The sequence below is a fragment of the Homo sapiens genome, chromosome 15, assembly GCF_000001405.40.
Source record: "Homo sapiens chromosome 15, GRCh38.p14 Primary Assembly".
NCBI lineage: Eukaryota > Metazoa > Chordata > Mammalia > Primates > Hominidae > Homo > Homo sapiens.
Window position 1 is genome coordinate 70,678,989 of NC_000015.10, and position 24,966 is coordinate 70,703,954.

The 24,966-nt window shown below is 35.1% G+C and overlaps 1 protein-coding gene across 8 annotated transcripts in view; it reads right to left on the reverse strand.

Moving 5' to 3' along the window:
• The window catches only part of UACA (uveal autoantigen with coiled-coil domains and ankyrin repeats), a 124,350-nt gene that overhangs the window by 24,435 nt on the left and 74,949 nt on the right, over positions 1-24,966 (reverse strand). For 3 of the 8 annotated variants that reach the window (XM_017022395.2, XM_017022394.3, NM_018003.4), the window contains exons 2-10: positions 20,539-20,672; positions 16,029-16,117; positions 12,311-12,375; positions 11,466-11,523; positions 8,762-8,832; positions 8,552-8,658; positions 5,277-5,458; positions 3,770-3,807; positions 620-688 (exon numbers count right to left, since the gene is read on the reverse strand). In XM_017022395.2, coding sequence (XP_016877884.1) covers positions 620-688; positions 3,770-3,807; positions 5,277-5,458; positions 8,552-8,658; positions 8,762-8,832; positions 11,466-11,523; positions 12,311-12,375; positions 16,029-16,117; positions 20,539-20,672 — 813 coding nt within the window. Of the gene's footprint in view, positions 1-619; positions 689-3,769; positions 3,808-5,276; positions 5,459-8,551; positions 8,659-8,761; positions 8,833-11,465; positions 11,524-12,310; positions 12,376-16,028; positions 16,118-20,538; positions 20,673-20,773; positions 21,287-22,888; positions 23,295-24,966 lie in introns of those variants that run through there. The other 5 variants (XM_005254529.5, NM_001008224.3, XM_011521753.3 and 2 more) reach the window with 3 other exon arrangements.

Consider the following 24,966-nt stretch of genomic DNA (forward strand, 5'->3'; position numbering starts at 1 on the left):
TAAAGTTGCTTTTTCTAATATATATTAAAACAATACTTTCTACACCATACTTCTAGCGTTACATAATTAAATTTTATAATACTGGACTCAAACATTGATAACAAAAGTCAATTCTTAAAGAAGAGATTAGGCAGCCGGGTGTGGTGGCTCACGCTTGTAATCCCAACACTTTGGGAGGCTGAGGCGGGTGGATCACCTGAGGTCAGGAGTTCAAGACCAGCCTGGCCAACATGGTGAAACCCCGTCTCAACTAAAAATACAAAAATTAGCCAGGCATGGTGGCACATGCCTGTAATCCCAGCTACTAGAAGGGCTGAGGCAGGAGGATCACTTGAACCTGGGAGGCAGAGGTTGCAGTGAGCCGAGATCATGCCACTGCACTCCAGCCTGGGCAACAGAGCCAGACCCCATCTCTAAATAAATAAATAAATAAATAAATAAATAAATAAATAGAAGAGATTAGGCAAAAAAAAAGAGAATCACAAACAATTTTAACGAGCTTCCCTTTCTTTGCCCCACTCATTTCACCCATTCTCTTGCTTCCTCTCTTCTCTCTCAATCCCACTACAAATACTGGAATTGTTTTTAAAGGAAGACACCATTATTTTTTTCTTTTTACCTGAATATTTTGATGCTCCCTCTGATGTGACTTCACATTTACTTCATCTTGCATGTGTGTCAAATTTCGCTTTGGTAAAACATAAGAAAACACGGGTCAGCAAGTGTAAGAATACAGAAAAGTATATTTTCCTCAATTGGCAATACACCCAGTTAGTGATTTTCAGTTTATCCAACATTAGCTGCACATAACACAAGGTGGCAGTGTTTCTATTTAAAACTCCAAAATGGAAAGGACCTTTAAGACTATGTTTTAAATAAATCAAGTATAACTTATTTAAAAATACTAAATAATAACAAATTTTAAAATATTATTAAGGATTTATTTTAACTAAAGTCACAAAATTTTAAAAAGAATTTGTAATAAATGCATAACAAAAGTTGGGCTATAAAGCACTGCATTGCCAACTACTAAAAGAACTCAACTTAAAAAAAAAAAAAAAGGAAGAGGAAGGGGAAGTCACATTAATTTGTAAAGACAATACAGAAATTATTTACTTCTCTGAGCACCACCAAAATAAAATATCAAGAGGTATGGTAAGGAAGAGACAGACAGTCCCTCTGACCTGAGCAATATAAAAAGGTCTTTAAATAACTTGGTTGGGTGTATGTTCTGTTTTTGTAACTTACTGCTTTGAAACTTTATTCCAGCTTAGAGATTTGCTTTAACAAAAACAACATAATTATTAAACAAGAGAATAACCCCCCTTTCAAAAAAACCAAAATGATCTTTAAATCTCCACAATAACTAATGTAGAAAGCTATTTATTTCTTCCTAATTAGGTTAAAAAAAAAACTACTGCTTTAATTCTTCGAGATGATTTTCTCATGTTTTGTATTATTTGTTTACCTTTGCTTGATCAAGTTTTTAAACTATCATTCAAATGAGTTTGGATCTAGAACTAGAGGAACAACTCCCATTTAAAAGATATTCTATATCCACAATTTGGCCCTAACTATGTTTACAGCCTCATTCCTTCTACCAAAGGACTGTTCTTCAAGTGGAATCTGACATCTTCTCACAGCTCACCTGATCATACCACTTTCATTTCCAGCCTTCACTTCAGCATCCTCACCCACTGCCTCCACTATATCCTAACTCAGACATACTAAATCAACCGCATCCTTTAATTAAGATCCATCTTCCTGACAAGCCTTGTTATTAGCACACTAAAAGAACCTCTCTTGCACCTCTGGCTCCACTTAGCAGCGATCTGATCACGTGCACCACTGATTGGGGTGCACACGTCCTGCCTTCCGCCATCTGGTAGTCACTGGTGGGTACATATCAATAGTCCTTATCATACAAGGTCCTTCTTAATCTAGCCCTTTGTTACTTTAGCAGCTTCTTCTGCTCCCTCCACGATGGGCACATCGCTCCTGTCACACTTGTCTGCTGCTGCCCCATGAACATGTCTAACCTGCTCCCTCATCAGGGGCTGGGCACCTGCCCTTCCCTCAGCCTGTGAGGCTTCTCCCACAGACTTCCACCCACTCCCTCTTCATCCCTTAATTCTGTTTTGTTTTTCTTCACAGCATCTGCTATGATACTAAATATTCCTTTGCTTATTGTTCATCTCTCACTAAGCTAGGAGTTCCATAAGGGCAGAGACTTCGTACACTACAATATTCCCAGCACTTAGAACAGTAGTTGGCATGTTGTAGATGTTCAGCAGATATCTGTGAACAAACAACTGAGTGAGTCTTACATTTGCAACTATACTGTAGGCTTCTTGAAAACAGAGATTACATGTGCCTTAGTATTAAAAAAAAAAAGTCCTATTTACAGCGTATATTTAGTAAGTGTATTCAATAAATGACGGAAACACAGTAATTAGGAGCAGTGTGTCTTTCTGTTCCTAGTAGAATATTAACTCCTTGTATTCACTTCAATATTTCCTAGAGCACTGAGCAGAGAACAATTCCCATATTAATATTCAATAATTCTTTTTATTTTAAATATCTATATATTTCAGAAATCATTTTTCTCTGATTCTGTGTGAGATGGCTAGTACAGTCATAGCAGTGTACATTTTTTTTCACTCTACTCACACTTAGGTTATATGAGGCACAGGGAAGAAGGCTGGAACAGTTGCTCCAGATGGAAAAGTGTCAACAGACATGACCCATATATGAACATATTAATTCAGATGGATTGAAAAGGAAAACAAGCTTTAATATAACTTTCATGATAAGTGCAGCAAACCACCACGGCACATGTATACCTATGTACAAACTGGCACATTCAGCACATGTATCTCAGAACTTAAAGCAAAATTTTTAAAAAATGTAGCTTTCAGATTCAGGTGAGAGGTACAAAAATGACACAGGATGATGATCAGAATTGCTCAAGGTACCTGATTACTTTCTCTTCAGGGTTTGCAAATGCTTAGGTTCCTCTCACTAGAGAAAAGCTGAAAGCCTGGAAGGGAACAGTCAGCAGGAGAGGAAAGCTGCCTACACTAGCTTTTGAGCCACGGTACTGTAAACCAACCCTGCTTACTTTAACACAAATAGATTAGCAGAAAACATAAGACATTTCACAACCAGGATATCAAAACAGGGTTAAATAGTAATTTAATAATAAATGTAGTGCAAAGCATGAATTATTTCAAGTGTTGTTATTCCGTAAAGTCCTCAATTAAATACACACAGAAAAAAAGACTGAAGAAGAAATAAAAACACTAACAGTGGCATTGAAATCACAATATATAATCAGTTTAGAACTCTGTTTTCTTCATTTCTTAATTACACTGGAAGAATTTTCCCATAACAGTCAATATTTTGTCCTGTTATTAAGGGAGACTGGGGGAAACTGTCTATGATCTGCCAAGCTAAAGTTCATCATTTAGCAAGTTACAATGTCTCCTACTTGAAAAAACTGAATGCTCACGGCCCTAATCAGGAGGCTATCTCTTTCCCACTGGATACCTTCATTGAAACTGAGATCTAATGTGTCTCAAGCTAAGTGATAGTATCTTGATAGGACCTCATGATCTAAGTATCCAGAATCTACACGGGCTTGATTAACTGAGAAGAGAGATAGAACGCATTTAAACTCAGAATAGTTATGCTAACTATTAACTAGTTTTACTAAGCACTTTAAACTATACAATACATATAATTATTTAAAATTAAAATTAATATCTACCTGTTGCAAAGATGGCCCTTTCTTCCAAAGTTCTCTCCCTAAGATTTAGAGAAAAAGAGAAACAACAAAATGGCAGGTTAACTTGGGGTAGGTACGCATTCCCTAACTATACAATTGAGTCAATATTAAATAAATAAACTTTAGAGTTTCCTCTAAAGCTTACAACTTTTTAGTTTTATTTCTAAAACGTATGCTTGAAACAATAATGACATCTCACTTTTGCCTATCAAATTAGCAAAATTTTTATAACAATATTCAAGTAGGTAAGATTAAAGACTAAGGATTGGAGGCAGGTAAAAAATGGGAAATTTATTTAGGCTGGGTATGGTGGCTCACACCTGTAATCCCAGCACTTTGGGAGGCTGGGGCAGGAGGATCACTTGAGGCTAGGAGTTCAAGACCAGCCTGGGCAACATAGCAAGACCCCATCTCTACAAAAAAAATATAAAAAATTAGCTGGCCATGGTGGTACATGCCTGTAGTCCCAGCTACTCATGAGGCTGAGGCAGGAAGATAACTTGAGCCCAGGAGTTTGAGATTGCAGTGAGCTATGATGGCACCACTATACTCTAGCCTGGGCAACAAAGGGAGACCCCATATCTAAAAAAAAAGAGGGGAAGAAAATTTAAAAAGCTCCTAAATTCGAAGGCAATTTGCCAACATAGACCAAAGGCTTAAAGAAATGTGCATGCCCTGAAACTCAGTGATTCAATTTCTAGGAACCGACCCTAAAGGGTAATAAAAATATACTAAAATATTTATGCATAAGGACAGTCATAACCTTTGTGTATTAATGAATAATTATAAATAGCTTAAACACTACATGTAGAAAACTGCTTTATTAAATGAAACTTAAATAAATGGAATCTCATACACCAACAAAAATCATACTATAGAAAAACTATTTTTGAGGGAAAGGCCTTCAAAATAGGTTACATAAAAAAGTAAGCTACAATTCAGATTTACAGTGAATTCAATTTAATGGGAAAAGACTAGAAGGATATTTCTCAAAATGTTAACAGAGGCTTCTCAGTGGTAATGAGTGACTATTCATTGTGCTTTTCTGTATGTTCCTGTTTTTTTTAAAAAAAACATAAAAAATCATGGCATAGGCATTTGGTAAATATCAGCTGACTATTTTACATACATGTTTAAACAATGATTCTTTAAAACTTCGTAAGTATAAAAAGTTGGGAGGTTCACCCCTCTTCATCAAAAAAAAAAAAAAACTTAGTAAAACACTTGACTCTTCCTTCTCAGTTCTGAAGTTATTCCAGTGTCTTAGTGTTCACTGGATAAACTAGATTATATATGCAACACACACTGCCTCAAAGCAAGTGACCATAATGTAAGTAAGCAAATCCATGTTGTAGAGGGAGATGAACCAATACTGTTTATCAGTAAGGAATGTTTTGCTTCTTATAAACTGTAGTTCTACTACCTAAGTCTTTTAAAAAGTGGCTCTTTGTTAATGTGGACTTTTCTAGTTACAGAAAACTGCTGATACCTTTGTTGGTATTTTCCGATGCAGTCTTCAACAAGGTTAGAATGTCCAGATTGTCACCAATTCTTGCATAGTAAGAACTATCATGGCCAAGCGCATCCAGCAAGCTTATATCAGCACCATTTTTAATTAAGACTTCTACTGCATCTCTGCAACCATATTCGCAACCTAGCATGAGGGCAGTTCTAAATGGAAAAATGGAAGAGCAAAAGACTGAGAAAACTCCAAGGAAATATTGCAGAAATATTCTGCCCTATTGTTGAACACTGTCTTAGTGTTCACTGGATAAACTAGATTATATATGCAACACACACTGCCTCAAAGCAAGTGACTATAATGTAAGTAAGCAAATCCATGTTGTAGAGGGAGATGAACCAATACTGTTTATCAGTAAGGAATGTTTTGCTTCTTATAAACTGTAGTTCTACTTGAACACTAAGTTCAAGTAAGTGTTCAACACTACTTGAACACTTACTTGAACACTAAGACATGCTCCCTTCTTGAAGAATAGACACTACTTTAAGAAGTCATGCCTGTTACAGATATAGATTTTACTTTATATTCATTGCATTTATAAAAACATTTGCTTTGTCTTCTATATCCTTATATCCTTTAATTACTTCTACTACCAAACCAACCTCATTTATTCCACTTCTTCAATGTCCTACACGTAAATAATCACCACAAAAATTTTCCACAACTGATACTGTCACCCCATGTGATCAAAACCCAACTTTTTCAGTCCCTTCATGAACTGAACCACATCATGCAAACCTCCCCTAAGAATCCCTTCTCCTCCAAGAGAAGTATCAGATTCCATTCCTGATGTTCCTGCTTAGAAGAACCTTGATTCTTCTACCTGAAGACCTTCACATCTTCAGACTACAACTAACGCCATGCAACATGGATCATTGCTTTATTCTATTGCAATAGAACCACTGGCACTCAAACATCTCACAGTACATCAGCAAATACTAATCATGCAACAAAATAATTGTCATGAAAATCTAGAAGGACCCTAGAAATTATTTTGTCTAATCCTCTATTTTTTAGGATGGGGCTAACCAACACGTAATGAAATGAAATGACATATCCTATATCTAACTCTGTCTTCAATTGTGAATATTGGATCTCTTAAGGAAACTGACTCTTGCCTTTTCTCTGCTATGTATGCTGTGTTTCTCATATTCAAGCCTTGTCCCCCAACTCCCCTGTAGTTGCTGATAAGAAATTCTGTACAAAACAGGCATTAACAAAGTTTTTGTTATTTAAAAAATGCTACATATAAAACAGGAAAAAAAGAAATGAATATAGAGTATTAGAAACTAAGGTTATAAATTATGTTGAAAACCATATGCTATTTAGTCTATACAATATACACTGCCCTGCTTCATTGGCTTTTTGTGAATGCCCAATGAAAAAACATAGATAAAGTGCTTTGAAAAATGTGAGAGCTATAAAAAATATAAAGCACTGTATGTAGATCAACCAGATTATCCCTCTGTGATCCTAAAATTAAATTTAACTTTTTTTTTTTTGAGACAAGAGTCTCGCTCTGTTGCCAGCGCAGTGGCATGATCTCAGCTCACTGCAACCTCCGCCTCCTGGGTTCAAGGAATTCTCCTGCCTCAGCCTCCTGAGTAGCTGGGATTACAGGCACGCACCACCACACCTAGCTAATTTTTGTATTTTTGGTAGAGATGTGGTTTCGCCATGTTGGCCAGGCTGGTCTTGAACTCCTGACCTCAAGTGATCCGCGCCCAGCCGTAAAATTTAATTTTAAAATCCAATTTTCTTCATCATGCTTGGAATCAGATGATAGTATCCACAAAAACAAAGTAATATTAAAAAGCCACTTCTTAATCACATCTTTTTTTTTTTTTTTTAATATTTAAAGAGGTTTATTCTGAGCCAAATGTTAGCAACCATGGCCCATGACACAGCCTCAGGAGGTCCTGAGAATGGGTGCCGGAGGTGGTTGAGTTACAACTTGGTTTTATACATTTTAGGGAGACAAAAGTTACAGGCAAAGGTATAAATCAATACATATAAGGTATACATTGGTTTAGCTCAGAATGTCAGGACATTTCAAAGTAGGGGCTTCCAAGTCAAAGATTTCCTGATTGGGAATTGATTGAAAGCATTAAGCTTTGTCTGGAGAATTGAAGTCAATATAAAGAAATGCTTGAGTTAAGATAAGGGGAGTTGTAGAAGCCAGGGTTCTTTTTTTTTTTTTTTTTTTTTTTATACTTTAAGTTTTAGGGTACATGTGCACAATGTGCAGGTTAGTTACATATGTATACATGCATCATGCTGGTGTGCTGCACCCATTAACTCGTCATTTAGCATTAGGTACAGAATTTCCTCCTTTGAGATGCATAAAGAAAACAATTACAGCTATAAAATCTGACAACTAAAGACTATTTTTTATACTTTTATACTTCTAATAAACTACAAACAATAGAATACATGTTTGGAAGAATAAAATTAAGTCAAAAGAAACCAAAATTTTTACTAGTAACTACAAAAATCCCAGAAATTTTAGTTTAATTTATTGTAATACTTGAATTAAATGGAAGGGGTGTGTTTCAGATACTTTGTGACCATAAACTTCAGAATTGTAATACAACAAGCACCATGATACATTAGACCTACAGACAGAGATAGGGAGAATTCTGGATAGAAATTATTAGAGCACACCAACTAAAATAGTATCAAATACAGAAGCAAAAATAAAGCAAGGGACCTCTGCAGTACAGAAATGGACAGGTTCAGAGTAGGAGATGGCACTGTACCCTGGCAGAGTAAGGAGAGAAAACACCTTGAGAAAATCTATACTGACACATGTCAAGTTCCAGAACACTCAAGAACCACTTTACTCAAAAGATTCACTAATGAAGAAGTAACTACAGATGTACTTTTTAAATTCTTCTCCTATGTATCTTACTTGCACCCATTTCATTAAAGAGTTTTTTAAGCTTAAAACACCTGGGATGTAATTCCTCTCTCCTTCAGTTCTTTGATCCAAACATAAGGCCTAATCACTGCTTTTATTCACATTAACCCTGTCATCTTCCTCTATTTCCCTCTCCTTCTTTCTTCAGCAGACTCTGAAGAAAACTGACAAGTAGATGTTAATTCCAAGGAAAAGCAAGCCAGGGAAGGGGAGAACCCACAGGAAAGAAAGGCCAAGTCAGAGAACAGAGCTGCTGCTTTGACTTGGCCTTTCCATCCCTGTGTATCCAGCTGGTATCTGGGAGCCATGATAAAAGAATTACCTGTTTTGTTTGTCTCTGGAATTAACATCCGCTCCTCTATCTATCAGCAGTTGACATATTGTTGGCCTACTCATCTGAGTAGCCAGAACAAGTGGTGTCCGCCCGTCCTAAGCAACAGGAAAAATAAAACAGCATTAAGACAACAGATCTCCCAAAATGTAGAAGTTAGAATGCATGAGTTGAAATGAGAATAAACATAAACTAACTTACTACATCTTTGGCATTCACAGAGGCCCCATGGTCACAAAGCAGCTGTATGCTAGAAGGACAATCTGCCATTGCTTTAAGGAACAAAAGAAAATGATAAATGGTGAACATCTGTTGGTAAGACACATAGTGTTTTTCTAGGTCCATATAAGGAATAAGTTTTTCAATTTCTAAATTACCAAGCTTCACGTCCTTCACTCTTAGTTTAGCATTATAAGCACAATTTTTCATCTGAAAATGGATTAGACAAGATTATAAATTGTCTACAATTTATTAGGACCAAGGAATAACGTCAACCTTGTAGAAGACAAGAACACACTACTATTCTAAGGATAAGCACAGACAATAAAAATCAAAGCTAAATTTTGTACTTACAGTATATTTTTAAACATGGCTATAACTGACTTGATCCTTGAAGTGTTGGCTCAGTTTTTTTAAAGAATCATATCCATTTTTTATAGAATAGTCACAGTAAGTAAAGTATGAATCATACAATTCATATTTCTCATAAAAGCAGAGATTGCAATGTCTACCTTTATGCAAAGTAAGGTCATTTTGCTAATAATTATAAAATCACATTATGCTTCTTTGACTAACACTATAGTTCATATTTATATTAGGAAAAATTATTGTTAAATTCATAAAGTAGGATTATGTTTACAATCCCCATGAATTTTTTAAGCCTTATGAGTTGACATACATTATAAGCACAAAAAGTACTGACAAAGTGAGCATTCTTTTTTTTATTGGTGAAATAATAGAATTAAACCAAACATAAGAAAATCAAGTAAATTTTCACTTTTCGTCTCTAATCCAGCAAATCTTTTATATAAAATGTATCATCAGCTTTAAGAAAAAGATAAACTGAACCTGAAAACATTAATTCAGGAACTGTAAAATTAGCGACCCTTTACGTCCAATTATAAATGAGAATTTAAAAATGTAAAGCATAATAAATTCCAGAGTTTACAGATTACTAGATCATGAAGAACCGCTTAAAGCCAAAAAGAGAAAACTGCAAACCACCCAGAAATCCTAGACTTTGAGCTAGATGAAGTAAATGAGTTTGTTTATATATCCTCTCCTTTGGGAGTATGTGGGAAGTAGGGGCTTTGGAGATATTTGGAAGGCCAGAGAGTTGAACTGTAGCAGAAAATGCAGTATTTTACCAAAATTTGTTCTCCTCTTCTTCTACTATAGAGTAGGTTTCGGAATATGACTAGTCACCTAGAGAGTTTATTTCTGAGCCTCCCTTGCAGATAAATATAGCCAATTGATTTTGCTCCTATCAGTAGAATATGAATGGAGAATAATCTACTACTTCCAAGTCTGAGTTCCAGACTTTGGGCATGTATTCCACTAGGCTCTCTCCTCCTTCCTGCTAGCTAGAATACGGCTACGACCACAACTCTGCTTCAACCTTGCAGTTAAGGAAGATACTCACAGGTAAGTGGAGAAACAAGATAGAAAGAATTCAGTTTTAAAATGACCATGAGTGACCTGTCAATATATATCACTCAACAATTTTTTTAATAAGCAGCTGATATTGGAGTTCTTTTGTTATAGCAACTTAGTTTCCATCCTAGCTAATGCATCTAACTAATAAGTATAAAGATTTCAATTGGTCAAGTTGTACCAGTTTTTAAAGCAGGGATAATAAAATATATGGTTAACTTACAGGGGTCATTGTGAGGCTCAAATGATAATGGAAAAATGCTTTGCAAATACAGTAATACCCTTCTATATTAAAAAAAAGAAATGCATTGTGTGAGAAATTATCATACAAATAAAATACAAAAAGCAAAATTTTTAAAAATTAAGGTATAAAATTTTGAAGGAAATTTGAAGTATAATATGTCTTCAGTGCAGACCACCTTAATCTACTGCATATATTCCATATACATGAAAAGAGAAAGTAGACTGTTTTTTTTCCTTTGGCCTTATAGTTAAATGTAGGAATATCAGACTTAGCAAGAGGTCAGGCTATCTTACATTCCAAAAATACCTAAATATATAACTTTTTTCAAAGTACTTTCTTTAAGACACCTAAAGAATAATGCAAATAAATTTAGACACACAAGTATAATAAAATCTCTAAAAATCAGTATAAATCTCTTTTAAAATATAGCACATTACAGTGATATGAAATTCAGCACTGACATCTCTAAAGGAAAACAACTACCACCATTAATTAAGAAATTATTATGTGCCAGGCACTACTTATGATTTGATTATACTTATTAATACTACTTATTGCAGTAGTATTATTAACTTCATTTTGCAAATGAGAAAAAAGAGGTTCAGACATGTTAATTAGGTAAACATAGTTTAAGGAAAGTCTTCTTCCCATTTCTCCAATTCCCAAAGACATGAAACACACACACGCACACACATTCTCTCTCTGTTTCCCTCTCTCTCTCTCTCTCACACACACACACACACAGCTTGGAGCTCCTTGTGAGCAGGATTATAGTTTATCTACCTTTGTACCTTTAGTATCTAGCAAGCTGACTGGCCTGTAAATACTGACTGAATGAATCTTTTTAAGCGGTATAATCTAATAAATCTCTAATTTGTGCAAACAGGTTTTTAATATTCTTTGTTTCTCCATGAATTATATAAATATCTATGTGTTAAAACCCTGAAATTAATTCAAATGACTAGACATTTTAACAAATATTTGTATCCAAGGGAAACCACTGCTCACCGGCATCGTGAAGTGCAGTTCTTCCCTGCAGGTCTGCATGCTCAGTGGGACAATTGTACTGTTAAAGTAAAGAAAACTTAGTAAAGTAGGAGAGTTTTATTTTAAAATTAGATATCCAGACTCAGATGAACAGCTGTTATTTAATCTTAAAATATTCCACTTATCAAAGAAGCTAAAGACTATCCGACAATCCATGAAATATGCTGACATGGAACAAATACAGTAACATTATATAACTAAATTAACAATGTTTCACCAAACAGGAAACATATGGTACATTATAATGAATGGCATGAAATACAGGAAAATATGTATTGTTTGGGGTTTTTTTTTCCACCAAGAATTAAAACTTGAGATACTGAATCAGAAAAGCAGGTGAGTTCTGCTATGAAACTTAGTGAATATGTTTATAAAAATGTATGACTGAAATATTTGATGGGAACTTTAGCCAACTAGTTAGAATTTTGTGGTTATCTGATTAAAAATGTAATAATATTATGTAGTATAAGTTATCTGTGTTTGAATAGAAATATACAGGTCCTATGTTGTATTACTTTATCTTCCACGATAGTCTAGACAACAGAAAATTCCAACCTTCAGCTATGTCAACAGGAAGGTCAAGCCTTTGTTATTTATTTTTAATACACTGAGTTATGCAATTCACTTCCCTCAGTTTTTGCTCTTTATTGTTCACATTCCTTCACAAATGATGGAAAAAATATGTAAGCTCATAGTCAAAGTTAGTTTACTATTCTCTTTGATCTAAAATTCCAAAAACACATTAAAAGTACATCTATGATTTGTTGTCAAAATAATAAAGCTAAAGTATTAACCACTTCCACTACCTGTAGAAGTTTTTGTAGGCACAATGCATGTCCATACTTAGCAGCCAGGTGAAGAGCATTTCTCCCTATAAATAATTTAAGATACATGTGAAGGATTATTTTCTTCATATGTAAATTGAGGATTTTTATAGAAATATGATTCTTTTTTCCCAAAACTAGTTGACAACATACTTAATCTGTAAGTATACTTTCAGTTTCCAAAGATGTTTCATCTAGCTTGATATTTTAGTAAGAGATGATATACGTACCAAAACAATGAAGGTAGAAAGAAAAACTAATTATAGAAATCTATAACAAGCAGGAACTTTGTTGTATTCACTACTATATCCCCAGCATGTAGAACAGTACCTAAAACACAGCAGATAATTAAATACTGGCACAGAGAAAAGGGAAAGGAGAGAAAGACAATGAGGAAAGAAGAGAGAGAAAGAAATACCAAGATTTCACATTACATATCCAAATAGGCAGTGTGGACACTGAAAATTGAGAAAGTTAAGAAGCGTAAGGCATAGAAAGGGTATTCCTTAACTGATTTTTCATGCTTTGGCTAAAATTCAAAGTTTATTATGTAATTCTATCTCTGAAAATCAGACAACTCATGCAAATATAATTTGTATAAAATGTGCATTTTAAAGGAAATGCCAAAGGGGGTAGGGAGGAGAGGTTACCAGGTAATCTGAAAGGTTAATTCTGAATACCAGAAAAGAAACTTGTAGGAACTATCTACCTCCAAACCCTATTTTTCCTAATTATATTTCTTTATACAAACACCTCTTGGATGGTGAAAGATATAAGGATTTAACCAGGCTATTCCAACTTCTAACATTTAATGCTCTTAATTTCCCTCTAATCTCACAAACTTCTTTTCTTTTCAATTTATTCTTTTAGAGATAAGGTTTCACTCTGTCACGCAGGCTAGTGTGCAGCCTCATAGCTCAGTACAGCCTCGAATGCCTGGGCTCAAGCGATCCTCACAGCTCAGCTTCCAGAGTAACAGGGACTATAGGCTCGTGCCACCATGTGCAGCTAATTTGTTTAATTTTGTGTAGAGACAGGGGCTCACTGTATTGCCCAAAGTGGTCTTGAACGCCTGGCCTCAAGCAATCCTGCTGCTTTGGTCTCCCAAAGTAATAGGATTACAAGCATGAGACATCACACCTGGCCACAAACTTCTTAAAATATAATTTGGGGGCCGGACACTGTGGCTCACATCTGTAATCCCAGCACTTTGAGAGGCCTAGGCAGGTGTATTGCTTGAGCCTGGGAGTTGAGACCAGCGTGGGCAACATAGTGAAATCCCATCTCTACAAAACATATAAAAATTAGTCAGGTGTGGTGGTGTATGCCTGTAGTCCCAGCGACTCAGAAGGCTGAGGGTAGAGGATCACTTAAGCACAGGAGGTCAAGGCTGCAGTAGCCATGATTATGCCACCACACTCTAGCCTAAGTGACTGAGCGAAATCCTGTCAGAAAAAAACAAAAACAAAAACACCATAATTTGATTTCACAAGTAGACCTTTTTGCTAGAAGAGTAATTTATGTTTTATTCATCTTGGAGGGATAAATAAATTGGCTTTCAACTCTCTGGTCACTTCCACGTAGCTGACTAACCAGGTTGCAGAACAAAACATAGTGAGTCCAGGTCTTTCAGGTTTTTCAATAAGTACAGATACAATACATTCAACCACACCCAAACATCCTCTAATTACAAGTCAATCAGATGTGATCATTTCAAATTTCAATTTGCTCCTGTTCATGGACAAGTGTCCTAGAAACATTTCACATTGTGAAAAGTGACTAAAATAACTGTCATTTACATGTAAAGTAAGAGATAGCATGGAGTGGAGATGGTAGGGTTAGGCACAGTGGCAACAGTACCTGGTGTTCAACAAAATGCTACAGAAACTTGGTCACATAAAAATGTCAGATCAGGGATAAGGAAATATCAAATCTAGCCACTTGAGATACGGCAGCAAAAAACCAAGGAAACACCAGATCTAAAGCATACCAACATAAATTACAACACAGGTGCATACCTGGTAAGACCTAAGTAACAAATATCTCAAAACTGCACTAATTTGAAATCTGGTCATTTTAAATACACTTTAATATTAAACAGCACTTAAGATAATACACATAAAGATGTGTATTCACATTGTTCAAATATCTACATCTGGATTATAACAGACATTATAGCAATTGAGAAAAGACCCTTGTATTCAATAAAGGACAACTCTAGGGACAAACATTATAAAACATATCAAATGAAAATATAAATAGCAGCAAAAACAAAAGACAGAAGAGTTAAACACGGTATGTTGGGGTGCAATATATGAAATAATGTCTGCTGAGCTTGGGGAAGCATTTGAGCTTGATCTGCAAAGAAAGAAGGCAAGCAGAAGTCACTAGATTAGCCACTAGGCAAAATGTCCAGAGCAGAAAGAATACAGACAAAAACAAGAAAGATACCTGTTTGAATTGGGATCCACACAATAAATAGTCTTAAGAGCTCTGAAGAGGTAAGGTTAGTCCAAAATTTCTAAAAATAAATATTCTTCTACATCAATGGAAAGCATATATAAGCAATAAACACATTTCTTTGTTCACTCAAAGGTAGCAGATAAATTGAATTTGGTCTTCTTAGAATCTGATGTATTCTTAAGTAAAGATTTACCTCACTAATTCAATTGTGATCTGTCTCCCTCTCCCTCCCTTCCATTTCTAAACACAATGCTGGGTAAAAGTAATGTATTTATTTGCCCCTACATGGAATCACAGGATAAAAAACTGTAAAAACTAACAAACAAAAGCCTTTTAGTTCTGGGTCAACTCCTGTATTTAATAGAAAAACAAAGTATAACTGCAAAGAACTAAGCTGTCAACAGTCCCAGAGAAGTGAGAATGTTTATCCTGATAGATAGAAAACTAGCACTCTCATGGAACAAAAGAGATAGTTATATTCAAATACTTAAAGGTCTACATTTGATGTACAAACTTCTTTGATGTACAAACCTTTGTTGTAAGATTTTAAAGGACAGACAAAGGTACAAATAAGTGTAAGCAGAAAACTGAGTTAGAAATATATTTCGATTCTCTATAAAAAATGATTTTTTTATAAATATAGCTAGGCACAGAATGGGTTCCTTATGAGGCATAATGGTTAAGAATACAGATTCTGACTGCGACTTAGCTACTGAAGGGCCTTGGGCCAAATTACTTAACAGCTCAGGGCCTCAGAACTTCTCTGGGTTCTGAGAGAATAAAATGAATGAGAATAAAATGAATGGGTAAAGTGCTTAGAAGAATAGCTATTAAATGTTATATACATGTCAGCTATTCTTGTTATTATTGTTGTCCTTGATGATAATGCTGTTAGGTAGCAGTTAGTTCTCCATCACAAGAAACATCCAACCAAATGCCAAATGGTCCCTAATGGTTCTTCAAAATCTGAGATTCTAGGATTCTGTAACACTACTAGGACCTGCACTAGAATTCAGGTCTCCAACTGCTCGTCAGTAAAGCAATCCTTTCTCCTAAATTCCCTATACTTGACCTCTCCCACAATACCTCAGAAGTAAACTCTTTCTCAACTATTTTAAAAACAGAAAATTGAGGACATCTCTCTTTATATCACATTTAGGTCTGAATAAAAATGTTAGCAGTGGACAATGTTTGTTTTCACTTTATGTTTTATAATTAACTATGGAGGCAAACATACCTGCAGTGTCACTGGTTGTAATATCAACTCCATGTATAAGGATGGCATTCAAACACTCAAGATTCCCCTTTGAGGTCACAACATGGAAGCTAAACAAAAAAAAAATATTTGTTGTGCTAAGGAAACAACCAAAGGTCACCTTAAATGCTACATTAATGTCACCCTTTTTCAACACACACACACGCACACAAACACACACACATTTTAAAGGCTACATTAGAACACCTACATATTTAATTAAAATTAAAAAAAGAAACCTATCTCATTTACATAAGGGGCCAATACTTTCTAAAAATACCTGCTTAGAACCAATGAAATATACTAATGTGCAAAAGCCTTAATAAGAGAAAATTTATACTATAATATCATTAACTCTAAAGTTTATAGCAAAAGCATTGCTGCTTGGATCTTAATAAATGCACTGAAAATTTTCTATCAGATTATTTTATTTAGTTTCAAATAGTTTCATTATTTTATTTAGTTTAGCAGAATGCTGAGGCCAAAGACAGATCCAAACACTTACCTTTTCTCTTTAGAATTATCAAACTAAACCTGCTTAGAAAAGCCTTCAAAACAACAAGCTAAACTACCCTTAAAATCACAAAAGAATCAGCGCCTTCTTCCCAAACATTACCAACTAATTACCAACTACCAACTAATTCTTCCTTTTGTTCAAAGGCCTGGGCTTGTATGATTGGCTGAAGTTTCACATGAACAGGAATAACTGAATAAGTTTCCTAATAAGGCAAGTTAAAGTTAAAAAACTAACTTTAAGCCATCAAGTATTCAAAATGCTAGTTAACAATATTTCATTATTTATTTAGTCATCTAATATTTTATTAATCAACAAACATTATAGAAATATTTTGTGTGCAATGAGAACTGACATTCTGTAAATCTATGAATTATGCTGAGTTTAACAAAAAGAACTGCCACTGACATTGAATATTACTCTACAAATCCAAACAGGTAAATACAATAGTTGTTGGCAAAGGATGTTGAACTCAAGTAGAAATAGAACTGAGGCCTTAAGTAAGTGCAATAACCATTCTAGAGATGCCAGGAAACAAAAAATGTGAAAGTGCTCAGCAGGTGCCAGGATACAGATACACTCTTGTAGCCCACTCTCAGCAGAGGTCTTCCCTGACCACACCATTAAAATTTTTTACATTTTCCCATTCACCAAAACCTTAGTACTCCTAGTTCCCCCAATCCCTGCCTTTATTATTCTATAGAGGATTTAATATTTTGGAATAGAATAAATTCATTACTTTCTTTATAGTCTATCAATCTCTTCCCACTCAACTATAAACTCAATGAAAGCAGGGATTTTTGTCTAGTTTTGCTTCCTATTACATCCCCCGAACCAATAACAGTGCCAGTCAAATGACAAACCCTCAAATATTTGAATAACTGCATGCTTGGAGACAAAATCTGAAGATAGCTTACAAATTCGTTTCCAGATATTACAAGACTCAGTCTTGCGACGCTATTAGTATTACGATGGATATAAATGCAAACTATAGACAAAGCACCACCAAGTAAAGCAGGTTTGTGTACAATCCGAATTAGAAAGCTGTTTCTGGTAAAAGGAATATAGTATTCTTAAGAGTCAGGTAAGTTCTCCTTCTACTAAATTAAATCGCTATAAGGCTGAGTATCTCTGCCTTATAATCTCTCTGCCACAATGAAACTGGGAATTATACTATGCAATGCACCATTAGAACCTTTTGAAGAATGCTAATTTCCTTTAGCAAAGGTAGTCTCCCAACAATCTTAGAGATATCATTGTTTTGTTGTTTGCTTGTTTTCATTTCTTAGCTCACAAAATGTGGAAGACCTCTTTCTTCAAAAGAGGTCAACATTATAATGATGATGTACAAAAGGGCAGAAATCACAACAAATCTACAATGCATTAGTAATGCTGATGTGCTATAAATAGATGTGCTTTGGAAAGAAGATACATCAATCATTAAAACATGCAAAGAATTGTATAGGAAATATGAAAAATTGCTTTATAAAAAATACTATTTTGCAATTTAAAAATCAACTCTATGTTTTCTTCTTTTAAAAACAAGACATGGACTTCTATAACAGGAGATATATGTAACCTGGACAAATGTTACTACTGAGGACAACTAGAAAAGCTGCAAAAAATATGAGACATATGCTTAAAGGTGTCAGTGAGCTAACAAAATAGTAAAAAGTTACTAGGCCAAGATGCAAGGTAGGAAGAAGGCCCAGAGAAGTGCGCTTAGTATTTCAGGCCACTTTTTCCCTGGGAACATTTGCTGATTCCAGAGAAACAGGAGACTGAACAGCACTTTGACAGCCTTGAGGAAATGGGGAGACACAAACTGGAGTCCACTGTTCTCCAAGTAGCAATGGAATCCTTGGTGAACCTTCCCCATCTTGGATTGGGCCCTGGAAGGGCTGTACCTTAGGAGAGAGGCGAACAGAAAGAAAACAGATCCTTGTGGTAACTATGGCTAGGCTTCAAATATTTCATTTTTGAAACCAAATTGAGCTCAAGAAGCACATGTTCTTTTGTCTTAAATTTAGAAATAAATTTCAAAATTAAAAACAATCATTTGAAACAAATTGTTTTTGTAATTGTAAATACAGAAAATATATTTGTAACATGTCCCACACTTGACTAAATACAACATGCTTTAATTAAGAATACAGTTTGTGTGTGAGTAAAAAAAGGGAAATACTTTATTCTATGAATCCTAGAAAGAATTCTACTCTTGGCCGGGCACAGTGGCTCACGCCTGTAATCCCAGTACTTTGGGAGGCTGAGGTGGGCACATCACCAGAGGTCGGGAGTCCAAGACCAGCCTGACCAACATGAAGAAACCCCGTTTCTGCTAAAAATACAAAATTAGCCAGGGGTGGTGGTGCATTCCTGCAATCCCAGCTACTCAGGAGGCTGAGGCAGGAGAATCGCTTGAACCCGGGAGACAGAGGTTGCAGTGAGCCAAGATTGTGCCATTGCACAACCAGCCTGGGCAACAAGAGCGAAACTCTGTCTCAAAAAAATAAAAAAATAAAAAAAATTCTACTCTCTATGATGAAAACTTCAAGACTAACACTCCTCAAATAGTTCAAAAACTAAAGTTCACAGTTCATCAAATTACACCACTATAACTGACTATTTAATGTCACTCAAAATTGAACCTTATATCAAGAACTCCAAACAAAAACTCAAGCCACCAGTCACTCAAAACATTCGAAGTATGAATGGGCAGAACTGATTTCAGTGATATAGGTTTCACTGAAAAGTTCCATCCCAAAAAAGATTCACTTCATCTTTTAACATCTTAGCATTTGAGAAAAAAGAAACATGAAGAACAATATCACTTTTGGATATTAAATTTTCACAATTTATGCTGTGAGCCCTATAAATAGCTTAAAATTCAGTAATGGGGCAAGATTCAAAATAACCAGTGTTTCCATAGCTATCAAACTGCTACTTGATAAAAGTGAAACATTATGAACTTGAAACTTTTCCAACTTTATTGCTCTTAAAAACTACTTAATTTATAGTCCTGCTGTTATCTTTACTATATTTAATACCTAAGCATTCCAAGGCAGTGACCCACATCACACATTAACTATTCACTTCCTAATATTCATTTCTATATTTAGTATCTGGTTTCCAGTTATAATATTCTGAATAAATTCATGCAAGTAAAGACTGAGAAGAATTTTAGGAAATGAGACTTTTCACCTCTAACTTTGAAAGGGTTCCCAGATAAGGTTTTAAATGCTATAAGTATAGAGGGTCATAACAGGGACTAGATCTACCCTTTAACCCAACTGCTCCCCACCTACAACAAGAAGGAAAATAATGAAGATTTGAGACGGGGAAGGGGAGAAGACAGACACATCGTTCATAAGCATATATACAAGCCAACAGTTCTCCTCAGTAACAAAAAAACAAAAGGGTGGGATTATTACCTGTATCTCCCTAAGCCACAGTAGTTATCCTGCCTCCTTTCTGCTCTAAGCATTCTCATTTAAGTGAATTACCCAAGTATAAAAATGGATTGGGGGTTGGGAGAAAAGACAGGGTAATTTACAGAACTCTTCGAAGACACAAAGCTTGGGTTCACATTCCAGCTCTGTGACTTTACCTGAAATGAGACCAAAGTATTTAACCTCTGCAAACTTTTTCCCACTTCTTTTATCAGGCTGCTTCAAAGAGCAAATATGATAAGGAATATAAAAAGGCTTATAATGAAAATGCACCAAATAACCACAGGCTGTGGTTTGCCACTGGGCCTAAACAATTCTAGACCACTGGATAGTATTCTAGTGTTCCCTCTCTAGACTGGAAATATTTTAAATTGAGAACAATTATTAGTTTGTTTGAAAGATTTTATAGTGCAGGTTTTGGCAGAATTTCTTAATAAGTAAGTTGATAACTACAATTCACAAGTTTCATTTGTATCCCAAGACTATCCAAATTCCCTTCAGACATGCTTTTATCATCAATAATACTTACACAGATCTGCCTTCCACATCTAGTTTGCCTGGATTGACCCCCTTTTTAGCAAGGATTGAGGTCACTTTTTCTACATCCCCCCTTTCTGCTGCTTTCATCAATCGGTCATCATATTTATTCCAATCTGCTGCATGCTACAAAAAGGAAAAAAAAAAGTAAATATGGCATACTACATTAGTTAAGATTTTTCTAAAGAAAGAAAAAAGAGAGAAAGGAAAGCAGTACTGCATAATACATCACTTATTTTCCAGTTGCATTCCAAATTTCCTTCTCCCTTCTGTGCTAACTTCATTAGGAGAGCAGAGTTATAAAATCTTCCCAAAACACATGATATACAAGAAACATTTAAAATTATACTTTTGAGGGAAAGCATGTTTCTTTTGTTCTCTGTCCAGTTCTCTTTGCCTTTGAGGCAAAAAAGGAAATCAATAACTACTGAACACCTACCCTGTACCAGGCACTAAAGTCCCAATCAACCCTAGTAAACTAAAATTATCATCTCCATTTAGCAGATAAGAAAAGCCAAGGCCCCAGAGACAGTAAATGTCTTAAGTGTTCAAAAGCCCAACCATGACTTCTATAGTTCCAAAATCAGTGTGCTTTTCCCATACCCTTTCAGATTTCAAATCACACTTTTAGATTTGGCTCTGGTTACATAGCTCCTAGGACTCTTAGATGCAGTGGAATTCTACATACATTTTAAGAAACTACCCCCCCCCAACACAGACATTTATTTAAAAAGTACTGTTGGAAATATATTTATGGAGGCAAATTGTATATATATATATATATACACACACACACACACACACACATTCTATACAGAAAGCAATTCATTATGTTTATATATTAGAATAAAATAAAACTTTTACATAGAAAAAACTAAAAATGACAGACTCTAAAGTATTAACTGCTTAACATCTAAAAATATTAAGATTACAAGTTACTTTCATTTTCTCCCTTTTTACATTCCACATGTATTGTTTTTATAAAAAATGTTTTTTATTTTAATAAAAATTCTGTGTATGTGTATTTAGATTAAAGGTGGGGGTTTTAAGAAGGATGTCTCATATAACATACATTTTAATCGTATCAAGGTTACCTCTAACTTTAGAGAAAATACATTCAAGGTATTCTGAAGCCAATAACCTAGATCTTTTCTCAATAAGCATAAATGTCAGAAGATAGAACTAAAATACATGTTACTTAAACAGGTGAGATTTTAGCCTTTTAAAATATTATACCAATTTACTAGTAAATTCTGTGCTAAATCCAGTATTATTTCTAGAACAAAAAAAGATCTGGATATTTTTCACTTAACTTACAAAATGAATCCTATGGCCACAAATACCCTAACAAATCTGAGAAAAAAACTGAATCACCTGTATATCCTCTACATGTTTGATCAATATAATTTTATATCTACTATTCCCTATAAACCAAAAAAGAAAAGTTAAAAAAAATCACCATCACTAACTTTCTTGTTAAACAAGTAATGTAAAATTAAATACTTGATGTAGAAAATGAATATGAAAACTGAATATGAAAAAAAGACAAATACATTAAAATTTTAACTCACTTCTGAAATTTAATATTTTAATGGAACCTGGTTCAAGTACCTACACAGATTTCAGAATTGTCTCTAAATTACTTAAATTTGGTGATGAACCTACTTCCTCCTAACTTCAAAAGTTTAAACTGCCAACTATGAGTACAGAATAACCCTACCTATGGGCTCCAAGTCTAAGCTACATTTTACGCATCACCTTTCTTAAGCTTTAAAACAAAAACAAAACAGTTTACTGACTCTAATTTGGGGAGTGGTCGTGGACATAAGCTTACAAGACATTGTGTTTTCAAATGCCTAAAGGATTAAATCATGTTTAACACACAAATGCTTGTTCTAGATTTGATTAGTCTATCCTTACAATTAAAACAATCTCCAGTTTATTTCCAAGTAAACTTGCTGGTGGAAAAAAGAGCCATTTAAATCACCACAAAGTTGTAAAAATCCAAAAATAAGGCTTTCTTTAAAGATAATTAAATGTGATTAAAGTCTCACATTATCATATGATTTTCAGTTCTACACCAAGCACCATTTTCAGCTCTGATTCACTGTCAGTTAACAGTAACACTGTACAATTATTAAGATTTTATCATGTGCTTTTTAAACCCAGAGAAAGAAAGAACTTTTGTTTACTATTACTAACCCCAATCTGCTAATCAACTTAATCAAGAAGAAAACAATAAAGCAAACCAAATTAATAAAACAGTAGTGCATTTTAAAAGAACACAGTTCAGAAAGTCTAACCAAGAATCTTTTGTTACACTAGACTACTGGGATACCTACTCTGTTCTTAGGAGTACAAGAAAACCAACAGTTCATCATAGACAGGATTTAGTTTCTTGTTGCTAATGGCAAACTACTTTGCATTAAGTTACAAATCTCTGTAAGCTCACAAAGCAAACTCTCAGACAAACTCCTGACAAGTGACTCAGTCCCTCACATGCTGTGCTACACTTAGCTTGGATCTCTAACGATATTTTCTTCGTCTTCAGGATCCTTCTCCGCCTTCATAACGCTCGAATATTATCTTCCTTGCAATGCAGAACTTGATTAAGAGCAGCCCCAAGTCAGGTACAGTAACTCTATCTATTTCTTATTCTTTGGAAGCTAGCTATCTTTCAAAGTTGTCCCTTTGAGGGACCCCACTGGAAAACTTGAACAGCACTCTGCATCCTGCTGCCTCAACACTGCAACACAGACGCTGCAGTGCATGATAAAACTGTCCACATCCGAATTGTCCGGTAAACAGCGTGGAGCCTGTCTCCCATTGGTTGAGTTCTACTTTAGATTCCATAGGACTTGACAGCTGAATGATAGAAAGGAGCAGCTAAGAATATATTGTAAATGCATGCTTTTCCTCTGAGTAATAAATTTCAGGTCTACTGGGGAAAATGACTCAAACATATTGTAAAACATGCTTATTATATAAAAACCAATTGTGTGACATAATGACAACATTTTAAGAGACAAATTTGGTTATTCCACAGAACAATATTTAAAACCAGTTTCAGTCTTAGGATCATCTAACATGAAGTTATAATAGCCCTGACAAACAGAATATAAAATTCTATTTTAAGCAAACGTGTCACATTTTAATTTAAGGAAACGCACACACAGTAACACTTTCAAATTTTCTCCATTTTATTTTGTACCCCTATCAGTCTCTCTGCATACAACCAGGTTTCAGCTTACAACTGCTGCCAGTCTGTCTCCTAGCATGTTAAATGAGAAGAGCCAGAGGCACTGCCAAAACATTAAATAGAATACATAGTGATGCATACTTTTCAACAAATTTTAAATTTAACTCTGTACTTTTAGTTTCCAAGTTTAGCACCCTGCCTAATATAACAAGTAAATATTTTATCAGTGAAAAGTCAAATTACCTGGATTCACTGGATGAAAAAAAAAACTGGTTAAACACTAAAGGAGGCAAATACACATTAGACAACGAGCTAGACTATTAAAAAAATCTCCATTTGGGGACAAAGCAGATAACTTCTCTGCATTCTCTACGATAGCATACTTGTATCAACATTTCTTACATTACCAAGGCCGGTGCAAATTCAGGGTGGTTTTTTTGTGGTGGCTGTTGTTGTTGTTTTTTAACCATGTTCTCATTACCACAATAGCATGAGAATAATTTACACTTCCTCTAAAAAGACACATTTGTGAAAATTGTTTCATGGGAATGCAAAACATTCCAACACAAGTGTTTACAGGAAGGAAGTAGCTGCTATATTATAGATCATGCTGCCAGTTAAAAATTCTGCTATGTACTTCCACAAGAAATCTGTTTCCTACTAAATTTACAACATTAGGCCCATATTCTAATTATAAAATATATAAGGGTCATATACCATATCTCATTTTTGAAACAATGATTGTTTTTTCCCCCAAACCACGAGATATCACAATGGATTCATTTGGCTAAACCCAGAGACTCCGCCCAGTCTGTGTCACCATTCTTTGAGGAAATCTTTGTTAGAACTCAGACCTTGTCCTTTGGGTAACAAAGCAAGCACATTCTTTCTAGAAATAGGACAGCAAAGGCGAAGGAAGAGGGAAAACAGTAACAAATAACTAAAGCCATATAAGGAGCGGCCCATGTTCAGGAGATAGGATTGTGTGTCCTAGTATTATGGATGTCCTGAGCTGCCTGCCACCTCCCCAGCCTCTGTGGCTTAATCTTCTGTGCCTGCTTTCACACCTTCCTTCATAGCTATTTCCCAAGAGCCCTACGCAAATTCCCACCTTTGCTGTCCCCTGTACCTATAAGGTTCTTCCCTCCCCTACTTTCAGGTTCTTCTCCAATGTCACTTCCTCAGAGAGGGCTTCTCAGACCTCTACATCTAAACGGCCCC